This window comes from Homo sapiens, chromosome 10 (genome assembly GCF_000001405.40).
Source record: "Homo sapiens chromosome 10, GRCh38.p14 Primary Assembly".
Classification (NCBI taxonomy): domain Eukaryota; kingdom Metazoa; phylum Chordata; class Mammalia; order Primates; family Hominidae; genus Homo; species Homo sapiens.
Window position 1 is genome coordinate 79028527 of NC_000010.11, and position 20132 is coordinate 79048658.

Consider the following 20132-nt stretch of genomic DNA (forward strand, 5'->3'; position numbering starts at 1 on the left):
CAGACGATCAGGATGGTTAGGGCTTCCTGGAGGGAGGGCAAGAAGGACAGTGGGGACGTCTGTCCCTAGCTCAGGTGCAGGGGGCAAACTCATGGCCCCTTGCTGTTTGGGGTGTGGGCATATACCTGCAGCTCCCAGAATGCCACCTCGGAAGCCGGGAACCTTCTGGGCTTGACAGTCATCCATCCCCTCAAGGAGCAGCAATGGCCAGATGGCCTCTGGGGCAGCTGCTGCCTCTACCCTGCCAGGCAGTCTTCTGGAACATTCCCACCATCGTGGCCTGGCCCCAAAATGGTGCCCCAACAGTCTCCCTCAACATAGCCTACTTTAGACCCTTAATTTGGAGAACTATCAAAGGCCAGGGCCAGAGGGCCAGTGGGACCTTTTTTTTTTTTTTTTTTTCAATGGAGACACTTCAGGCAGAGACAGCAGGCAGCAGGCTGGCTTCTGGTCACCAGGCAGGTACACAGCAGGACTGGGATTTGAACTCAGGCCTCCTGATGCTTAGCTCAACTCAACCTTACAGAGAGTACAGGGGCTAAAGCCATCTCATGTGAGACCTGATTCAATTTTCCATCCTTCTCTTTTTTTTTTTTTTCTTTCTTTTTGTGGGGGGAAACAGGGTCTCGCTCTGTCATCCAGGCTGGAGTGAGTGCAGTGGTGCAATCATAGAGCTCATTGCAGGCTCCAACTCCTGGGCTCAAGTGATCCTCCTGCCTCAGCCTCCCCAGTAGCAGGATGACAGGTACACGCCACTACACCAGGGTAATTTTTCTTTTTAATTTTTGTAGAGACAGGGTCTTGCCATGTTGCCCAGGCTGGTCTTAAACTCCTGGCCTCAGGCAATCCTCCTGCCTCGGCCTGCCAAAGTGCTGGGATTACAGGTGTGAGCCACCGCAACCAGCCTCCTTCTTTCCTTCTTTCTTCTACTACTTCTCCTGCCCCTTGTTCTTCACCTTCTACTCTTCTCCCCCAAGCCCTGCCTAATCTCTTTCTTTTTCTCATTTTTCCTTTTCCTCCTTCTTCTTCCTTCATCCTGCTCAAGTGAAAAAATAAAATGTCCTCCTCTGGTTGCAGATAGGAGCATCTGTCTGTGTGAGGGAGACCTCGGGGCCCTATTCCCCGTTGCGGTGGGCAGCATAACAGCCCTACCAGAGATGTTCACACCCTGGTCCCTGGAGCCTGGGAATATGTTAGGGTACATGGAAAGGAAAATTAAGGCTGCAGATGGAGTTAAGTTTGCTAATCAGCTGACCTCGGGATGGGGAGATTATCCTGGATTATCTGGGTGGGCCTGAGGAAATCACAGGAGACAGGAAATGGAAGAGGGAGGCAGAAGAGAGCCCTAGAGAGGGGCAGCATGAGAGGTACCCGGCCTGACACTGCTGGCTTTGAGGATGGAGGGAAGGCCATGAGTCAAGGAACACAGGCAGCCTCCAGAAGCCAGAAAGACGAAGGCTTGGACTCTCCCTTAGAGCCTCCAGGAGGATCGTGCCCTGCTGACACCCTGATTGTAACCCAGTGGGACCCACTTTGGAGTTCTGGCCTCGTAACTGTAAGATGATAAACTCCTGTTGCTTCACGTCACAACTTCAGTGGCCATTTGTTACAGCAGCATAGGACATGAACATACCATTCCATGCCTCCCACGGCCCCCCAGGTGCATTTCTCCAGGGATGGGGACTCCCTCCAATCTCAGCCAGCTCCCACTACTACCAAATCCCTCCCTGTGGGATCCAAAATTGTCCTCCTTGGAGCTACTTTCCAAAGCATCCGCTCTGTTCCCCCTGGGCCCCTCTCTGCTGGTGATCATGGGATCAATCCCCTCCATCCTTTTCTTCTCTTTGCCCAGCGATCCCCAGAATTCTTTGCTGATTGCTCTGCCAGAAACTCCCCTCAAAGAAATCTCATTTCCTGCTCAAAGCTTCCCTCAGAGTTCCAGGGGTCATCCATGCCCAGGCCAAAGTTCTCAGGAGCATAGACTCAGTCTACCTACCAAGGAGGCATTGAGTAGGATGGAGAGCATGGTTCCAGCTGGCTGTGTGGCCTTAGACAAAGCCATGCCCTCTCTGGACCTCTGATGCCCCATCTGTACAAGGGATAAAATCCTGTGAGTTTGGAGGAGGGCCTTGGGACAGAGTGGGTCTTGTCCTCCCTGATTCTTTTGCCAACACAACTCTCAAGCACCTGACTTCTCTCTGTGTTGCTTGTCATTAGCAGGAGAGGAAAGGAGAGGAGAGGAGAACAGAGAAGGAGAGGGAGAAGAAGGAGAAGGAGAAGGAAGAGACATCCATCCCTACAGAAATTGTATTTAAGTGTTTTATTGTATGCTCTGGCTCGGGCAGCACCTTAGTTAATGGTGTGTCAGATGATGGTACAAATTTATAGCTGAAGGTTTACATCACAGACAGCTGGAATGAATGACAATAAATTAATTTAAAGTGCTACCAAAGTGTTCCCCAAAGTATATGTGCTTATGAGCTCTGGGCTAATAATTTATAAATGCATGCCTTTTATAATCCTGGTCTTAAGTCTTGAAAGCAGCTAGTTAAAAAGCAGTCACATGACATAAATTATTTTTATTAATATCACAAGTGCATGATTAGGGTGGTGGGAATGGCGGTCACCACCAGTCCATGGTTTCAGCAGCCAAGCATCTCGTCCTTTCTCCCCATCCTCTGGCTCTGAGAGGAGGGGACCTCACAATGCCAGGGTCCTAGGTCCCTGGCACAGCTACCAGGGCCTGAGCTGGTGCCCCCACATCCTAACCCTGCTTTCCTGGGTGTGGAATGAAATTCTCATCCAATATGGGTTTCCTCTTCTAATGGCTTCCTGCTGCTCAGATGCAGAGAGCAAATATCTTTGCATGGGCATGCAATCAACACAGACATTCACACAAACTCAGAGAGAGAGAGAGAGACTTGCTGAGCCTCAGTTGCTTTACCTATAAAATGGGCATCACAACATTGACCTCATAGGCCCCTTGGGAGAACTGATTAAGGCTATATATTAGCACTCAATGAAATATATTGTTATTAGAGGCTGTCTCTACCTACCTACTGTACAAGGAGATGGAAATGTACAAAGAGGTTTATACAACCAGGAACTTTGTGGTTGGTTGGCCTGTTCAGATCTTTTGATAAAATGCAACGTGACTCTATCCTTCTGGAAGCCCATTCCAAACCCTTTTCTCTAACGCAAATCCCAGCAGTGCCCTGGACCCCTAGCTCTGCCATTTTCTCAGTGGATCCGTCAGTGATTCTCTTGTAGGTGCACCCTGTCCTGTGCTGCATTAAAGATTACCCAAATGCTTTGCAGCGCTTCTCACCAAAAGATGAGGTCTATTTCTCCACTTCTTGATTTCGGGCTGGCCTGTGACTCACTTTGACCTGTAGAATATGGTGGCAGTGATGCTGTCACTTCCAAGACTGGATCTTAAGATATGTGTAGCTTGTTTTTGTTTTGTTTAGAGATAGAGTCTCACTCTGTCACCCAGGTTGGAGTGCAGTAGTACAGTCATAGCTACTGCAGCCTCAAACTCCTGGGCTCAAGTAAACCTCCCACCTCAGCCTCCCTGGTAGGTAGGACTATAGGCGTGACTACCATGCCTGGCTAATTTTTTTAAAAATTTTTTATTTATTTGTAGAGACGGGGGTCTCACTATGTTACCCAGGCTGGTCTTGAACCCCCAGGCTCAAGCAATCTTCCCACCTTGGCCTCCCCAAACGCTGGGATTATAAGCATGAGCCACCCGTCCCAGTCTATAGCTTGTTTTGGAGCATTTCAAACACTCTTCTTAGAATCCAGCTGTTTGGCTGTGAGGAGCCTAATCAAGGTAGAAAGTCCTCATGGAGGCAGCCCCAGCCAAGCCCCCAACCAGCGTCCAGCATCAGCCCCCACCATCTGAATGGGCTGTGTTTATGCTCTGGTCAAACCCTTAGATGACAGCAGCCCCAGCATACGCCATGCGAACCAGAAGAAGTGGCCAGCTGAACCCAGTCAACCAAGAACTGTGAGGGATAACACAGTAGTCCCCACTGACCCACAGCTTGTGTTCAACCGTGGTCTCATAATATTAAATGGGAAAATTCCAGAAATAAACAATTCATAAGTTTTTAATTGCACACCATTCTGCATATCGAGATGAAATATTGCACTGTCCCACTTCATCCTGCCCAGAAGATGAATCATCCCTTTATCCAGCACAAGATGTCTACACTCCCCACTCCTTCATCTCTTAGTAGCCTTCTTGGTTATCAGATCAGCTATCAGGGTATTACAGTGTTCCTGTTCAAGGTCGATAGAAACCTAATGCTACATCAAAATGCCTACATTGAGCTTGTCCAATCCGTGCCCCACAGGCTGCATGTGCCCCAGGATGCTTCTAATGCGGCTCAACACAACTTCATAAACTTTCTTAAAACATTATGAGACTTTGGCCTGGCATGGTGGCTCACACCTGTAATCCCAGCACTTTGGGAGGCTGAGGCGGGCAGATCACCTGAGGTCGGGAGCTTGAGACCAGCCTGACCAATATGGAGAAACCCCGTCTCTACTAAAAATACATAATTAGCTGGGCATGGCAGCGCATGCCTGTAATGCCAGCTACTCAGGAGGCTGAGGCAGGAGAATCGCTTGAACCCGGGAGGCGGAGATTGCGGTGAGCTGAGATCGCGCCATTGCACTCCAGCCTAGGCAACGAGAGTGAAACTCCATCTCAAAAAAAAAAAAAAAGAAAAAAGAAAGAAAAATGAGACTTTTTTTGCAATTTTTTGTCATCTCCTCAGCTATTGTTAGTATATTCTGTGTGTGGCCCAGGACAATTCTTCCTCCAGTGTGGCCCAGGAAAGCCAAAAGATTGGGCACACCGGTTTACATCATTCACCTCCCCTCATCTCATCACATAGGCATCTTATCATCTCACATCATCACAAGAAGGGTGACACAGGACAATAAGGCATTTTGAGAGAGAGATCACATTCACATAACTTTAATAAACATATATGATTATTATTGATCTATTTTATTATTACTTACTATCATTAATCTCTTATTGTGCCTACTATTTTTTGTGCTATTTTGCTTTGTTTTTTTGTTTTTTTTTTTTTTGAACAGAGTCTAGCTCTGTCACCCAAGCTGGAGTTCAGTGGTGAGATCTTGGCTCGCTGCAACCTCCACCTCCTAGGTTCAAGTGATTCTCATGCCTCAGCCTCCCAGGTAGCTGGGACTACAGGCACCCACCACCACACCCGGCTAATTTTTGCATTTTTAGTAGAGACGGGGTTTCACCATGTTACCCAGGCTGGTCTCAAACTCCTGGCTTCAAGTGATCTCCCCGTCTTGGCCTCCCAAAGTGCTAGGATTATAAGCGTGAGCCACTGCGACTGGGCAACTATGTCTAAGTTTTAAATTAAACTTTATCATAGGTGTGTATGTTTAAGAAAAAATATAGTGTACATAGGGTTTGGTACAATCCATGGTTTCAGGCATCCACTGGGGTTTTGGAACGTATGCCCCAGGGATGAGGTGGGACTACTGTAAATGTTTGTTGTCCAAAGGCCCTAGGTTTGAGGCCAGAATGCCCCTCTGTACCAGCTCTTCCCGTCAGCTCTTAGACATGCCCAAGTCTCTCGTCTGAAGTTCTGCTTGATCCCCGTGTTCCTCAGCAGCTCCAGCCTTCACTCACTCCCCCACTGGCTCCCCTTCCGCCACTCCTCCAAGAGGGTACTCTCCAAGATCACCAGGGCCTGGCTGTACCTGAGTCCTGTGGTTGATCTGATTTGCCTGCTTCCTGGGGTCCGCTGCCTCTCCTTTCAATACTTTCCCCAGTGCTCCTCTCGGTCCTCACCTCTACTTCTCCGTGCCATTTCTCTCAGGCCACTATGTACCCCTGTTCCTGCTCTTTCAATCCTGGGGATCCCCGGGTCTCTGGCCCGAGCCCTGTGACCTGCACCATTTCCACTCATTTCCAGGCAAGCTCATCCACTCCCTGTTAGACACCAACATCTCCCAAGTCCCTACGTTCAGCCCACATTTCCTCTCCAGGCCAAAATGTTCAACTGCCTGCTAGACTTTGCATTTGATCATCTTGCAATCACTTCAGCCTCCACAGTTCCCACATGTACTCATCATCACCACACTCCCTGCCCCTCCTCCCTCACTCCTCTTCCGAAGATTGGCACTGCCATCTATTCTGTTGCCTGAGTCCCAAATTGGGATTCAGTCTCTTTTCTCTCTGCACCCCACCTAAAATCAGTCACCAGATCCCGGCAAGTCAGCCTCTAAATTGGTCTGAAATCTATTGTTCCTACTGCTGTCACCTGTTCCCAGGCTACTGCCATCCCACGCTGGACCCCCACCCACACCTGTGCACTCAGTCCTTTCTCCACTTGGAGGCAGAGACCCTAATTACATCACTTTCCAACTCAGAGTCCTTCCACAGATCCTGCTGCCTCTAGAACAAAAGCCACACTTGTCGATGTGACTTAGGTGCTCTCCACATCTGTCCTAGGACCACCTCTCAGCCCCAAATCTGACCACTCCCTAGAGTCACACCAGACTCATTCCTCTAACCTGCTGCACACTCACACATGGGTCTTCACACCTCTGCCTTTTTTGCCAGGACACACTGCCCTCCTCCATGGTTCAGCAGACACCACCTCCTGCAGGCCTTGACTTCCCCAGGGAAGCCTAATCTGGCCCCCTACACCATCCTAGAGTGGCTGCCCTGCTGTCTACCCAACCACACCCTTGCCCTGCCCTGCTTTCCCTTCCTTCAGGACACGTCTCCCTTGATGTCAACCGCTTGGTGAGTTATTTGTCTTCTCAGCTGAATGGGTAGCTCTGGGTAATCAGGAACCATTTATCATGGCCTAGCATGGCATCTGGCATGGGTAGGCACTCAATAAATATTTGTGAATTAATGAATGATAAACGTCATCACCTTGCCTCCTCCAATCCCCATGAAAGACTGATTTGAACAGATTTCTACAGGAGTCTCTGCCTTCACCTCCCATTCCCCTGCTCAGCCACTCAACACCCATTTGGGGAGCACCCATTCTGTGCCCAGCCCTGGGGTGGGCATACAAATCACAAATGAATGGATTAACAATACTATTCAGAAATAAAAAAGACCCAACTACCAACACACACAGCCACAGGGGCAAATCTCAAAAGCAATAGGCCAAGTAAAAGATGCCAGACACAAAGACTGCAGGCTGGATGAGTCCACTTATGCGACATTCTAGAAAAGGCAAAACTATAGGAACAGAAAACAGATCAGGGCTCCCAAGGTGCATGTCAAAGAGGAAGAGTCAGGTGGCAGCTGAGTTGCATTGTTCTTGTCTTTAGAGACAGGCAAGGTCTCACTCTGTTGCCCAGGCTGGAGTGCAGTGGTGCAAGCACAGCTCACTGTAGCCTCAACCTCCCAGGCTCAAGTGATCCTCACACCTCAACCTCTCAAGTATTTGGGACTACAGCCATGCATCACTACGCTTGGCTAATTTTTAAACTTTTTGTAGAGACAGGGTCTTGCCATGTTGCCTAGGCTAGTCTCAAACTCCTGAGCTCAAGGGATCTTCCCCCTCACTTAGGCCTCCCAAAGTGCTGGGATTACAGGCGTGAGCCACCAAACCTGGCCTCGAGTTGCCTTCTTAGAACTAACCACATCATTCACCATCACTTCTGACACATTCTGCTCATGGGAAGCAAGTCACTACAGCCAACCTATATCAAAGAGGAGAGGAATTGAAGTCCACCTTTTGATGGGATGAGTGTCAAAGAATGCGGAGAACTGGTTTTTGTTTTTTTTGTTGTGTGTGTTTGTTTGTTTGTTTTTGAGATGGAGTCTTGCGCTTTGGCCCAGGCTGCAGTGCAGTGGCATGATCTCAGTCCACTGCAACCTCCGCCTCCTGGGTTCAAGTGATTCTCCTGCCTCAGCCTCCTGAGTAGCTGGGATCACAGGCATGTGCCTCCATGCCCAGCTAATTTTTGTATTTTTAATAGAGATGGGGTTTCACCATGTTGGCCAGGCTGGTCTCCAACTCCTGACATCGGGTGATTCACCCACCTCGGCCTCCCAAAGTGCTGGGATTACATGAGTGAGCCACCACGCCTGGCCTAGGGAACTGTTTTTAAACCGTCATAGTTTCCACTTGCCCTTCTGGCACCATGGCCACAGACGCTAACACTCACAGTGTCTACAGGTAACAGAGCATCATGGACATCTGGTGGCCCAAAGGCAGCTCTTTTTTATTGTAAGAATATAATTATAATAATGTTAAAAGAGTATTTGGGAAGAAGAGAAAATCAGCCCTCATTGCCACTTATTCTCTGGGTGACTATAAGTCATTTAGCTTCTCTATGCCTCAGTTTTTCTGATCCATAAAACAGACATAATTCTAATTGCTAACACATAGTGTTATTGTGAGAATTAAATGAGATAATTATGTAAAATGCTTTAAAAAACACAGGGTAATTCCTAATAACATTGCAGTATCTCATGAGCTAGCTGAAGGAATAAATAAGATAATCCATTAAAAGAGCTTAGGGCAGTGCATGGTACATGAAAATAAATCAGTTAATGTTATTGACATTATAGTTATGATAATAATTATTAGCCACAGCTTCTCCAGGATAATGTGCAACCTCTTAGACTGCCATTCAAGGTCCTCTGCAAATCCATCCCTGCCTATCCCTCTGGTTCACTCTAGCTCTCTCTGCTCCCACACCACAATTGCAGTGGTGGGATCATACCTCACTGCAGGCTGGAACTCCTGGGCCCAAGTGATCCTCCTGCCTTAGCCTCTGGAGTAGCTGAGACTATAGGCATGTGCCACCACACCTGGCTAATCTTTTTTTTTTTTTTTTTTGAGACAAGGTCTTGCTTGTTCCCACCGCCCAGGCTAGTCTTGAACACCTGGCCTCAAGTGCTCCTCCTACTTCAGCCTCCCAAAGGAAGGATTACAGGCGTGATCCACCATGCCCGACCACCACCCCTGAAAGTGCTTGAGTGTGCCTTGAACATACAACCTTCCCGTAAGTAGACCCTTCTCCTAATATGCCCTCCTTCAGGCCTCTTCCTGGTGAACTTACATCATCATAAACATTGGACTGGGAGTCAAAAAAAATTGGTTGATAAGGTCTACTTTTTGCCACGCCATAGTACCAGTGATCAGAAAAAAAATAAAAATAAAAATAAACATAGAAGCACCTATTTTCATATAGAAGCACAGGCCAGTAATTCCTGAGAACAGGGACACAGATGAGATAAACTCTGATGGTCCAGTTATCTCCTTGGAGGCACATTTGAGACCACTGCATGAAGAGAGAATCCAGGTGGAGCACAACAGTCTAACTGAGCTGACGAGACAGAGATTGGGATCCAGGGAGCCTGAGGCTGCTAGAAGTTGTGGGCAGAGCACCAGAGAGGAAGGAGCTAGGCAGAGAAAAAGCTCCAGAAATCTGCACAGGGGTCCTCTTGAGCCTGTAGCCAAATTATAAGCTGTGCATGCCTAGGGTGAGAATCAATGAAGCCAGGCAAAAACCAACTATCAGAGGAAACTGACTACCGGAAGTTGAAGGGCTACAGGAGCTCATACAAAGCTGGGAGACTTGGAGTTCCAACCAATCAGGGTAAAGAAGGCTCATGGATCAACTTAATAAAGCTTGAAAATGAGCCCCAAAAAGAGCAACCCCATCTACAGGTAAACAGGTTACCTGCCTCTCAAAGCAATATCTTTAATACTCTAAAGGAAGGCAACAAAACCCAAACACTAGGCAATGTCCAGCATCCAAACAAAACTACCGGATGTGCAAGAAAGCAGTAAAATGTGACCCACAGCCAGAAGAAAAATAATTCAACAGAAACAGAACTAGATGACAGAAATTATGGAATGAGCAGCTACATTAAAATAGTTATTACAATCATATTCAAGCATTAAAAAAATGAACATAATGAAGAAATAAATGAAAACCATGTAAAAGAAACAAAACTTCTAGAGCAGAAAAACACAATATATGAAATGGAAATTTCACAGGAAGGAATGAATAGCAGATACAGTGCAGACAAAAGATGTATGAACCTGAAGACAACAGAAATCACAAGGAAAATTAGAAAATGTTTTGAGCTAACTGAAAAAAATGAAAACACAACATGTTAATGTTTGTGAGATGTAGTTCAAAGAGTGGTGGAAGGGAAATATTTGGCTTGAATTGCTTACATTAGGCAAAATGGGAATTCTAAAACATTTGTGCAGAAAAGAGAACAGAGCAGGCCTGAGACTACTGGCCTTAGAAAGGCCTTCTTACCAGGTTGGCCTTTGACTGGTACTAAGGTTTGAGTCTGTCCCCTCCAAAACTCATGTTGAAATTTGATCCCTGATGTGGCCATGGTGGGAGGTGGGGCCTAGTGGGAGGAGATGTCTGGGTCACCGCGGCGGATCTCTCATGAATAGTTAAGGCCCTCTCTCTCTCCAGATTACTTACAGCAAGAGCAGCTGGTTATAAAAGCAAGTTCAGCTTCCTAGACTCTCTCTTGCTTACTCCTCCGCCATGTGTTCTCTTTGCACACATGACCACTCAGCTCACATTTCTGCTTCTCTGCCACGTTTTGACCCAGCATGTGGCCCTCATCAGAAGCCAGCCAGATGGGGCACTAGGCTCTTGAACTTCCCAGCCGGCAGAATAGTGCGCGAAAATAAATGTCTTTTCTTTATAAACTGCCCACTCTCAGGTATTTTTTCATAGCAATGCTAAACAGACTAATATAACTGGCATCTGGAAACCTGGATTTCAGGAGGTTCCCATCATTCCTTGATAAAAGTGCCTTGCTGTGTCTAGATGATTTACATAAACAATATGGTTTATCCTGAACAATGTTTTCCTTCTGGGAACCTAAAATGTTGACATGTGCCATGCAGAGGGTGCCTATGTGGTGAACCCTCAATACAGATGCTGGACATGGAGCCTCTAATGAGCATCCCTGGTAGACAGCATTTCACATGTGTTGTCACAACTCATTGTTGGAGGAATTCAGCACATCTTGTACGACTAGAGTACACCATGAGCAGACTCTTGGAAGCTTATGTCTGTTTTTCTTCAAATTTTACCCCATGTGCCTTTTCCCTTTGCAATTTTGCTTTGTATCCTTTGCTATAAGAAATCTTAGCAGACAGCTGATTCCTGTAAGTCCTACTAGAAAATCCTTGAACCTGAGGGTGGTCTTGGGGACTCCCAACACACCACTGATTCACCTAATGAAGTTTAACCAAAGACCAAATTAAAACCAAAGTAGAAGGAAGAGTATAATAAAGAGCAGAAACCAACAAAAAGGAAAATGGGCATGCACTTACAGAAACTCAATGGAAACCATAGCATATGCTTTTGAAAAGATTAATGGAAATCAGGGAACTTCTAGCTAGACTGATGAAGAAAAAAGAAAACACAAATGACCAATATCAGGAATCAAAGTGGATTCATCACTGCAGATCTTACAGATGTTAAAAGGATACCAAAATAATATTATAAACAACTTTAAGATCACAACTTTGGCACCTCAAATAAACGAGACAAATTCATTTAACAATAGAAATTATTGGCTGGGCACGGTGGCTCATGCCTATAATCCCAGCACTTTGGGAGGCAGAGGTGGGCAGATCACTTAAGGTCACAAATTTGAGACCAGCCTGGCCAACATGGTGAAACCCCGTCTCTACTAAAAATACAAAAATTAGCCAGGTGTGGTGGCACATGCCTGTAATCCCAGCTACTCAGGAGGTTGAGGCAGGAGAATTGCTTGAACCGGGGAGGCGGAGGTTGCAGTGAGCCAAGATCGTGCCATTGCACTCCAACCTGGGTGACAGAGCAAGACTCCATCTCAAAAAACAAACAAACAAACAAACAAATTATCAAGATTGGCGTAAGAAAAACAAAACAAATAGCTCCATATTTATTACAGAAATGTAACTCACAAAACCTTCCCTAAAAGAAACTCCAAGCCCATATATATCTATAGTGAATTTTATCAAATATTTAAGTAGAAAATAATACCAAACACAAATTCTTTCAAACCATAGAGGATGGAATACTTCCCAAGTTGTTTCACAAGCTCAGCAGTACTGTGCTTAATAACACCAGGCAAACACAATATAAGAAGACTACAAACCAATGAAAAATCTCAGCAGACTCTTTTAAAAAACAGACATCAACAAACTGATCCTAAAATTTATATGAAAATGAAAAGGACTTCCTAGAATACCCAAAACACTTTTTAAAAAATAACATATTTGGAGAACTTATGCTTCTTGATTTCAGGATTTACTACACAGCTACAGTAGTCAATAGAGTATGGTATTGGTATAAGGAAAGATATATGGATCAATGGAACAGAAGAAAGTCCCCAAGTAGCGGGACTATGCAACTGATTTTTTACAAAAGTGATAAGGTTATTCAGTGGGCAAAGAATTATATTTGTAAGAAAAGACATGAAAACAAAAAAATACCAGACTTCCAGTTTCTATTCCAGCATGTAAGGAGCTTGGGAATCATCGCTGTCATCCTCACAATAAGAAAACAGCTAAACAAACTGAAAACCAACAACTCTTCTTAGATTCATCAGAGAATTGAGGCCATGGGGCAAACTAATGCCTCCAAAACTGGAGAGATAGACAAGTGAAAACAGAGAATTACAACTTATCAGAGCAGAAACCCATCAGTAGAACCCTCTGTGGGAACTAGTACCAGATTACTTTTACCTGGTACATCAGATCTAGCTTCAACAACAATTTATAAGGCACACAAAAAGGAAAAAAATACAGCAAAGGCATAACAAGCACCAGACCTAGACACAAATACGACAGGGATATTGGAATTATCAGACCAGAACTTTAAAGCAAGTATGAAGTATGATTAATATGCTAAGGTCTCTAAGGGAAAAAGTAGACAACGTGTAACAACAGATGGGTGATATAAGCAGAGAGATACAAATTCTAATAAAGAATCAAAAAGAAATGCTAGGAATTAAAAACATTGTAACAGAAATTAAGAATGCCTTTGATAGGCTCATTAGCAGACTGGACACAGCAGAGGAAAGAATTTGTAAGTTTGAGGATATGACAATAGAACTTTCAAAACTAGAAAGCAAAGAGCAAAAAAGGCTGAAAGCAATTGAACAGAATATCCAAGCAGGACTACAAAAGGTATAATATGTGTATAATAGTAATGTCAAAAGAAGAAGAAAGAAAGGAACAGAAGAAATATTTGAAGTAATAATGACTGACAATTTCCCAAAATTAAAGTCAGATACCAAACCACAGATCCAGGAAGCACAGAGAACAGTGAGTAGGATAAATTCCAAAAAATCCACACCTAGGACTGTCTATTCAAACTGCAGAAAATCAAAGATAAAGAAAAATTTTGAAAGAAGGCAGAAGAAAAAAAAAACAAAACTCTTATCTATTGAAGAGCAAAGAAGGTAAGAATTACACCAGACTTCTCAGAAACCATTCACACACACAAAAAAAACAGAGTAGATTGAAATATTTAAACTGTTGAGAGAGAAACAAAATAAACAAACCAAAAAACCCATCAACCTAGAATTCTATATGCTGCCAAATTATCTTTCAAAAGTAAATACTTTCTCAGACAAGCAAAATTTGAGTGAATTTGTTGCCAGTATACATGCCTTGCAGAAAATGTTAAAATAAGTTCTTTAGAGAGAAGGAAAATGATACAGGTCAGACACTCAGATCTACATAAAGAAAGAATGCATAGAAGGATAAATGGAGGTAAAAAAAAAAAGCAACTTTTTCTTAATTGATACAACAGATAACAGTTTGTTCAAAATAACAGCAACAATGTATTCAATGATTATAGTTTATGGGTTGGTAAAATGAAAGACAGCAATGTTACAAGGGAAGAGAGAGAGGGGAAGGAATACTTTGTTATTACAAGGTACATGCATTGCCCATGAAACAGTGCAGTGTTATTTGAAAATGGAATTGGATTAGCTGTAAATGTATATTGCAAACTCCAGGGCAACCACTAAGAAAAGAAAAAAAAAAAGTATAATGATATGCTAAGAAAGAAGATAACATAGAATCATATAAAATGCCTGATTAAAACCACAAACAGCAGAAAAAGAGTGGAAAGCAAAACCAAGAATGAAAAACAAGGGCAATAACAGAAAACAGTAACAAATATGATAGAGAAAGCAAATGGATATCTATATGGACCTCAATTCCACCTCACATCATTCATAAAAAGGAACTCAAAACAGACGATATATCTGAACACAAAAGCTAAAACTATAAAACATCTAGAAGAAAACTGCAGAGAAAATATCTGCAGCCTTGTTGGCAGGCAAAGTTTCCTTAAACAAGTCATGTCAAGCACTAACTAGACAAGCAAAAACTGATCAATCAGACTTTTACTCTTCAAAAGATACAATTAGGAAAATGAAAAGGCAAGATACCAACTGGGAAAATATTTTGCAACACAGATATCTGACAAAGCACTTGTGTCAAGAATTCATATGAAGAATTCTTAGAACTCAATAAGAAGACAAACAACCAGTAAAACTAGGCAAAAGATTCAAACAGGTGCTTTGCCAAAAAAGGCATATGCACATAACCAGATGATCAACATTTTCAACATTACTAGTTGTCGTGGAATTGCAAATTAAAGCAACAGTTGCCATTACATACTCACTAGAATTGCTCAAAGACCGATGATACCAAGTGTTGACAAGATATGGAACAAATGGAACTCTTATACACTCCTGGTGGCTAAAATGGTGCAAACACTTTGGAAAAGAATTTGGCAATTTCTTATATAGTAAAACATATACTTACCCTGACAATACAACAATACCAGTTCCAGGCATTAGCCCAAGGTAAATGAAAACATGTTCACATGAATGTTCATAGCAGCTTTATTCATAAAATCCCCAAACTGGAAATAACCCAAATTCTATCAATTGGTGAACAGATAAACAAATTGTGGAATGTCCATTCTCCAGAATACTACCCAGCAATGCAAAGGGCCGAACTACTCATGCAAGATACAACATGCATGGCACTACACAGAAAGTACATACTGCCTAATCACAATTTATAGGACATTCTAGAACATGCAAAACTAATCGATATTGATAAAATCAAATCAAATGTTGCCTGAGGCAGGAAGAGGGATTGATCAGGAAGGGGTATGAGGAGATTTTGAGGGGTGATGGAAATGTGTGATATCTTGGGTGTGGCAGTGTTTACACCACTGTACACACCTGTTAAAATTCACTGAACTGTACAGTGAAAATGGGTGCATTTTGTAAATTGTTTCTCAATAACACTGATTTATATATATATATGAGTGGTTGGAAGAATAAATTCAGTATTTTCTTTAACAACCAAAACTGCTTAAGTACTACTTGTGAGCCAGGGAAGAAGGTAGGAACTTTCTCAGAGAACCCAGGAGAACTGGGTGCTAGCCTGGCACCGCCCCTATCTCCCAGGGTGGGCTTGGACAAATCACTAAGAATACAGTCAAAGGTGCAGGTCCAGGACCAAAAGCAAGGCCCTCTGTTGGGTGGGGGAGATATGTGAGTGACGGTTACAGCAGGCACCCTGAGGGGGCACCTGCAAGACGGAACAATGGCCAGTGGGCTGGGAAGTCCAGAAAGCCTTCCCCAAGGAGGAGACTTGTGCTGGCACTGCAGAATGAACAGGAGAGCACTGGGATTTACAAGTAAGTGGGGTATTCAGCCCCAGGGGAACAGCATGTGCCTGGGAACAAGGGCAAGAAGGGCCATGCACTGAAGCTCTCTGCTTGCAGAGCTGTTAGCGCAAACACCTGCTTCTGGGGGCCCCAGGGAAACCATCTGGAGCAGATGCTCCCAGAGACCAGGATGCTGACCCCTACTTCCCACAGACCAGGTACCACCTCCTCCAGAAAGCCATCCATGACTGCATCTGAGACTGTCAGACCAGGAGAGGCTGCAAAGAGACATTGTATGAAAGACCAAAAGCAAGACATTTCATTTCATTGTTGGATGGATGGGAGTCCATGAGAGAAAATGCTTCAGAGAGCATCTTGCACGGGGCCGAGCCTTCAGTAAATGCTGGTTTCCTTAACGATCAGAAGGAATGGGCTTCATTATCCCCATTTTATGCCGGGGAAAATGGAGGGGCTAAGAAAACCTAAGTGGTGGGCCTGAGGGGGCACGGCTTGTGAGTGGGGAGCTGAAGTGTCTCATTTCTCTACCCTTGCCCACATCCCAGGACCATATGACTTCACAACAGGAAAACCAAGGCCCAGCGAGGGCAAGTGACTGTCCAAGGTCACACAGTCACTGTCAGAACTCAGACTTGACCCCAGTCTCCTGATGCCAATGCTGACCCCTCCCAATGAGCCTCAGCCTGGGACGTCACTCTGAGGCCCAGACTCCAAGGGGTGAAGGAGCCCCCAGCAAGGCCTGGCTCTGCCTGCTGCCACCTTTGGGAGCAGTACACAGCTTTAGAAGGCCCACGGCAGGCTCTGCAGCTGAGCAGGGGCTGTGGGAAGGTGGTGAGGAGGGCCAGGACTTCTCCACACTGAGTGGAGGGCCTGGAGCCAGGTGCAGCTGGCCCTAAGCTGAAGGAGGAGGGATGAGGGATGGGAAGTGGGCAGCTCGGACCAGGAGGAGGGCAGCTTGGTGTCTCCAAGGCCCCACATGGAGCCCTTCACGTTGCAGCTGTGCCACTCCCCCCATTGTGCCTTCTGTTCCCCAAATGCGGTGGTCTTGCTGATCCAGAAGATATAAAAAAGGAAAAACTACACACGCTTTGACATCAACAAATCAGGGTTCTTGTCCCTGATCCACCAGTTCCAGGAAAGATGTCTTTAGACAATCAGAAATTCTCTAAGCCTCAATTTCCTCCTCTGTGCAATGGAGCTAATAGTACTATTACTGGAGCATAATGCTATACTCCCCATAAAAATCAGTCTTGATTTTCCTTTCTAGAAACGTAATTCTGACAACCCACTATTGTTGAGCTTTGATCCCCCAGCCTCACTCAGGAAGGCAGGAGGCTCCTCAGTACTCTGGAAGGAGAAGCAGGGCCTTCAATCTCTACTTTGTCTTGGAGACTGCTGAGGCTCTTGTGGTCTGAGATGTGTGACCCTGATGTCCTGTGGTGCCCTGCTTCGCCAGGCCAAAGTTAGAGCCGAGGGTAGGTAAGGAAATGCAAAGCCTGGTCAGCAGGGGACCCTGGTATTAAAATCTATCAAATTCCTCCTGCAAGGAACGCTCCTCTGAGGCGAGTGGGGCAAGTGGGTGCATGCAGCACAGCTCTGCGTCTGATGCACAGGGCTACTGGGAGGACAAAAAGAGAACCATGTGGGAGGCGCCTGCCCAATGCTGGCCCACAGAACGGCCCTCCAATTGCCGGCACCCAAATCCTTTGGTCCCTGCAATCCCATGAGGCAGGCACTGCAAGAAATAAAGAGGCCCAGAGAGGATCAGAGCCTTGGAGAAGGACATGCAGCAAAGCAGGTGCCCAGGGCATGTGGCACAGCACTCCTCCCCCTGCCCCAGAGACTGCCATCACCCTATCACCCAGGGAAAGAGTAAAGCTCGTAGGCCAGGTGCAGTGGCTGACCCCTGTGATCCCAGCACTTTGGGAGGTCGAGGTGGGCAGATCACTTGAGCTCAGGAGTTTGAGACCAGACTGGTTAACATCGTGAAACCCCCATCTCTACTAAAAATACCACACACGCACACACACAAATCAGCCAGGCTGTGGTGATGCATGCCTGTAATCCCATATAATAGGGAGGCTGAGGCAGGAGATTGCCTGAATCTGGAAGGCAGAGGGTGTGGCGAGCCGAGATCATGCCACTGCACTCTAGACTGTACAGCAGAGCAAGACTTCATCTCAAAAAAAAAAAAAAAAAAAAGAGTAAAGCTGGTGCATTCTCAGGGTGTCTGGCTGCCAGCCTTGTAGGTGACGCAGGTCCCAATGAGAGTTACAATTAGATCTCACTGGAGACGTATTTCTATTACCAGGGCTGAGCACGTGAGCCATGCAGCAGCGTCCCTTCTTTCGTTCGAGAGACTCTGCCCTGGCTGGAAGTTGAGTAAGGAAGCCTGGGATCTCGCCCTGGGCCTTAGTTTACTTGTCTGGGAAATGGTTATGGTGGCTGCAGTGTGGACTGTGAGACTCAACCCTTCCTTTTCCCTGCTGTTAAAAATCCTTTTGAAGAATAAGGTGGCCCCACCCTCTATATCTCCATCCAACAAATTTGGAAAAGGGGGAAACAGTAGAAGTTCTTCTTTCCTGGCCTCCTTGACCACTACTGTGGGTTATTCCCAGGAAACCCACACAGGTCATGGAGGACGTTCATCTTTAAGAAGACCTGTGCCATGTCAGAGCGACATGTGTCAGAGGAATTACTCACTTGACAAAGAAGGTGCTTTTGTCAGAGGAGGAGGTGGCCCTCGGAGTTCCCTGACATCATACATCAGAGCCCCCCTCCCGTGTTCCTGCCCTAAGGGTCCCAAGGTAAGAGACAGACCTGGGAGGTGTGAGTCCTACACACAGCCCCAGTGCCCTGGTCTGAGGTAAAGGCTGGAGCGAGCTGGCTCAAGGGCTGGGGTTAGCACTAGGCAGCTTGAAACAAGAGCCTGGGAGAGTCCAGTGGGTGGAGGTCAGTGGGAAATGAAACTGCAGTTCTCAGCAGGGCCTGCCACAACCACCACTCTCAGACAAGGGGCTACCCTGGGCATGGGGAGGAAGGCACTCCTCCCCTACACTGGGCTGCTGGAGGAGTCCAGGGGCCGGGATCTCTGTCCTGGGCAGGAGCCAGGCCAGGCCAGCTGAGACAGTCTCCCTCCATGACTCTTGCTCCTGGTGGGAGGTGGGTGGCCTTATTTTTCTGAAAAGGAAGTCAAAGCCTCCTTTGTTGGCCTCCCAGCCTCCACCTCTCCCCTGCAGCTCCTCCACCTCTCCCCTGAGCCCTCCTCCCTTCTGCTGCCTATAGAATCCTTTTAGAACATGGCCTCCATCACACTCTCCCTTGTTTACCCACCTACAGTAGCTCCCCATTGCTTCAGCAGGTCTCCCAGACGCGACTCAAGACTGAAACCTTCATTAAGGATGCAGGAGCCCCAGTCCCCGGTCTCACAGCCTCCAGAGTCTACTGGCTCTTGGGGACTTCTCTGTGCTTCTTATTTGATAGTTAAGCCATTTGATGCTCAGAGAGGCTAAGTAACTTGTTCAAGGTCACACAGCAGGAGGACTTGAAATTCAAATCCAGCCTACAGAGCTCAAGCCCTGTCCACAGAAGGGCCAACGGCCCAGGACAGATGCTTCAGGAAGCTGTGTTCCTTAGCTGGGTCGAGCCTGCCCTGTGTGGGTAAGAAAAATGGTAGGGTGGGAGCTTTGAAGACAGTGCCATGCCACTGGCAGAGCCCAGACCACAAATCCATAGGCTTGGACCCTGGCAACCTTGGCCGAGCCTCAGCTGTCTCCTGTGGAAAATGGAAAACAAAACCCCTGACCTCCCAGGTTTCTGCAGGAGTGTGGCTGGACGGTGGGTGAACCAGCCCAGCCCTGAGCAGGGTGCACAGGAGGTTTTCCTTCCACGTTCCTGGCTTTTGCACAGGATCCAGAGGCCCAGGGTCGTGGGTGCAGCCTCCACCAACCCCAAATCCAGCAGGGACCCAGTTGCCACCCACACCCATGCCACACCCATGCCCACACCCACGGTGAGGCTTTGCAGGCCCAGTAAACAACCCCTTGCCCTCCTCCCCAGAAGGAAACTTTTTTAAAGCAACAGAAACAAACTTCTCTGTGTGCTGTGTGTGTTGGTGACAGGAAAAGGAACATCACTTCAGAGAGGAAAAGGCCACCGGGGTTGGGGGCAGGGCCAGGCAGAAGCAGCCAGAGGAGAGAAACAGAAACGGAGATCTGATAAGGGCGCCCTGCTCATCTGGGCTGGGGACAAGCGCTGCAAGGCTGGGGCCCTGGCACTGGGGTGGGGAGGGGGTGGCGGCTCAGCCCCTCCTCAGCCCCTCCAACCGCTGAGCTGGGGGTGTGGGTCTGAGGTGGCCTGGGGTGGCTCGGCAAGGCTCCCCTCCTTTGGGGCAGGCCATTTCACTG

At 46.5% G+C, this 20132-nt stretch overlaps 1 long non-coding RNA gene across 3 annotated transcripts in view, besides 3 other annotated features; it reads right to left on the bottom strand.

The window, feature by feature from the left end:
• The window catches only part of ZMIZ1-AS1 (ZMIZ1 antisense RNA 1), a 124123-nt gene that overhangs the window by 85201 nt on the left and 18790 nt on the right, over window positions 1–20132 (bottom strand). The gene's annotated exons all lie outside the window — the stretch shown is intronic.
• Window positions 18529–19728: an enhancer, noted in NCBI's record as "MED14-independent group 3 enhancer chr10:80806812-80808011 (GRCh37/hg19 assembly coordinates)". NCBI's record gives its function as "activates an origin of replication core promoter dependent on BRD2, BRD4, P300/CBP and CDK7 cofactors, and independent of MED14, by STARR-seq in HCT116 cells {active_cell/tissue: HCT116}" and the evidence as "EXISTENCE:reporter gene assay evidence [ECO:0000049][PMID:35650434]".
• Window positions 18544–18603: a silencer, noted in NCBI's record as "silent region_2522". NCBI's record gives its function as "represses an Ori minimal core promoter by ATAC-STARR-seq in GM12878 lymphoblastoid cells {active_cell/tissue: GM12878}" and the evidence as "EXISTENCE:reporter gene assay evidence [ECO:0000049][PMID:35858748]".
• Window positions 19841–19900: an enhancer, noted in NCBI's record as "active region_3622". NCBI's record gives its function as "activates an Ori minimal core promoter by ATAC-STARR-seq in GM12878 lymphoblastoid cells {active_cell/tissue: GM12878}" and the evidence as "EXISTENCE:reporter gene assay evidence [ECO:0000049][PMID:35858748]".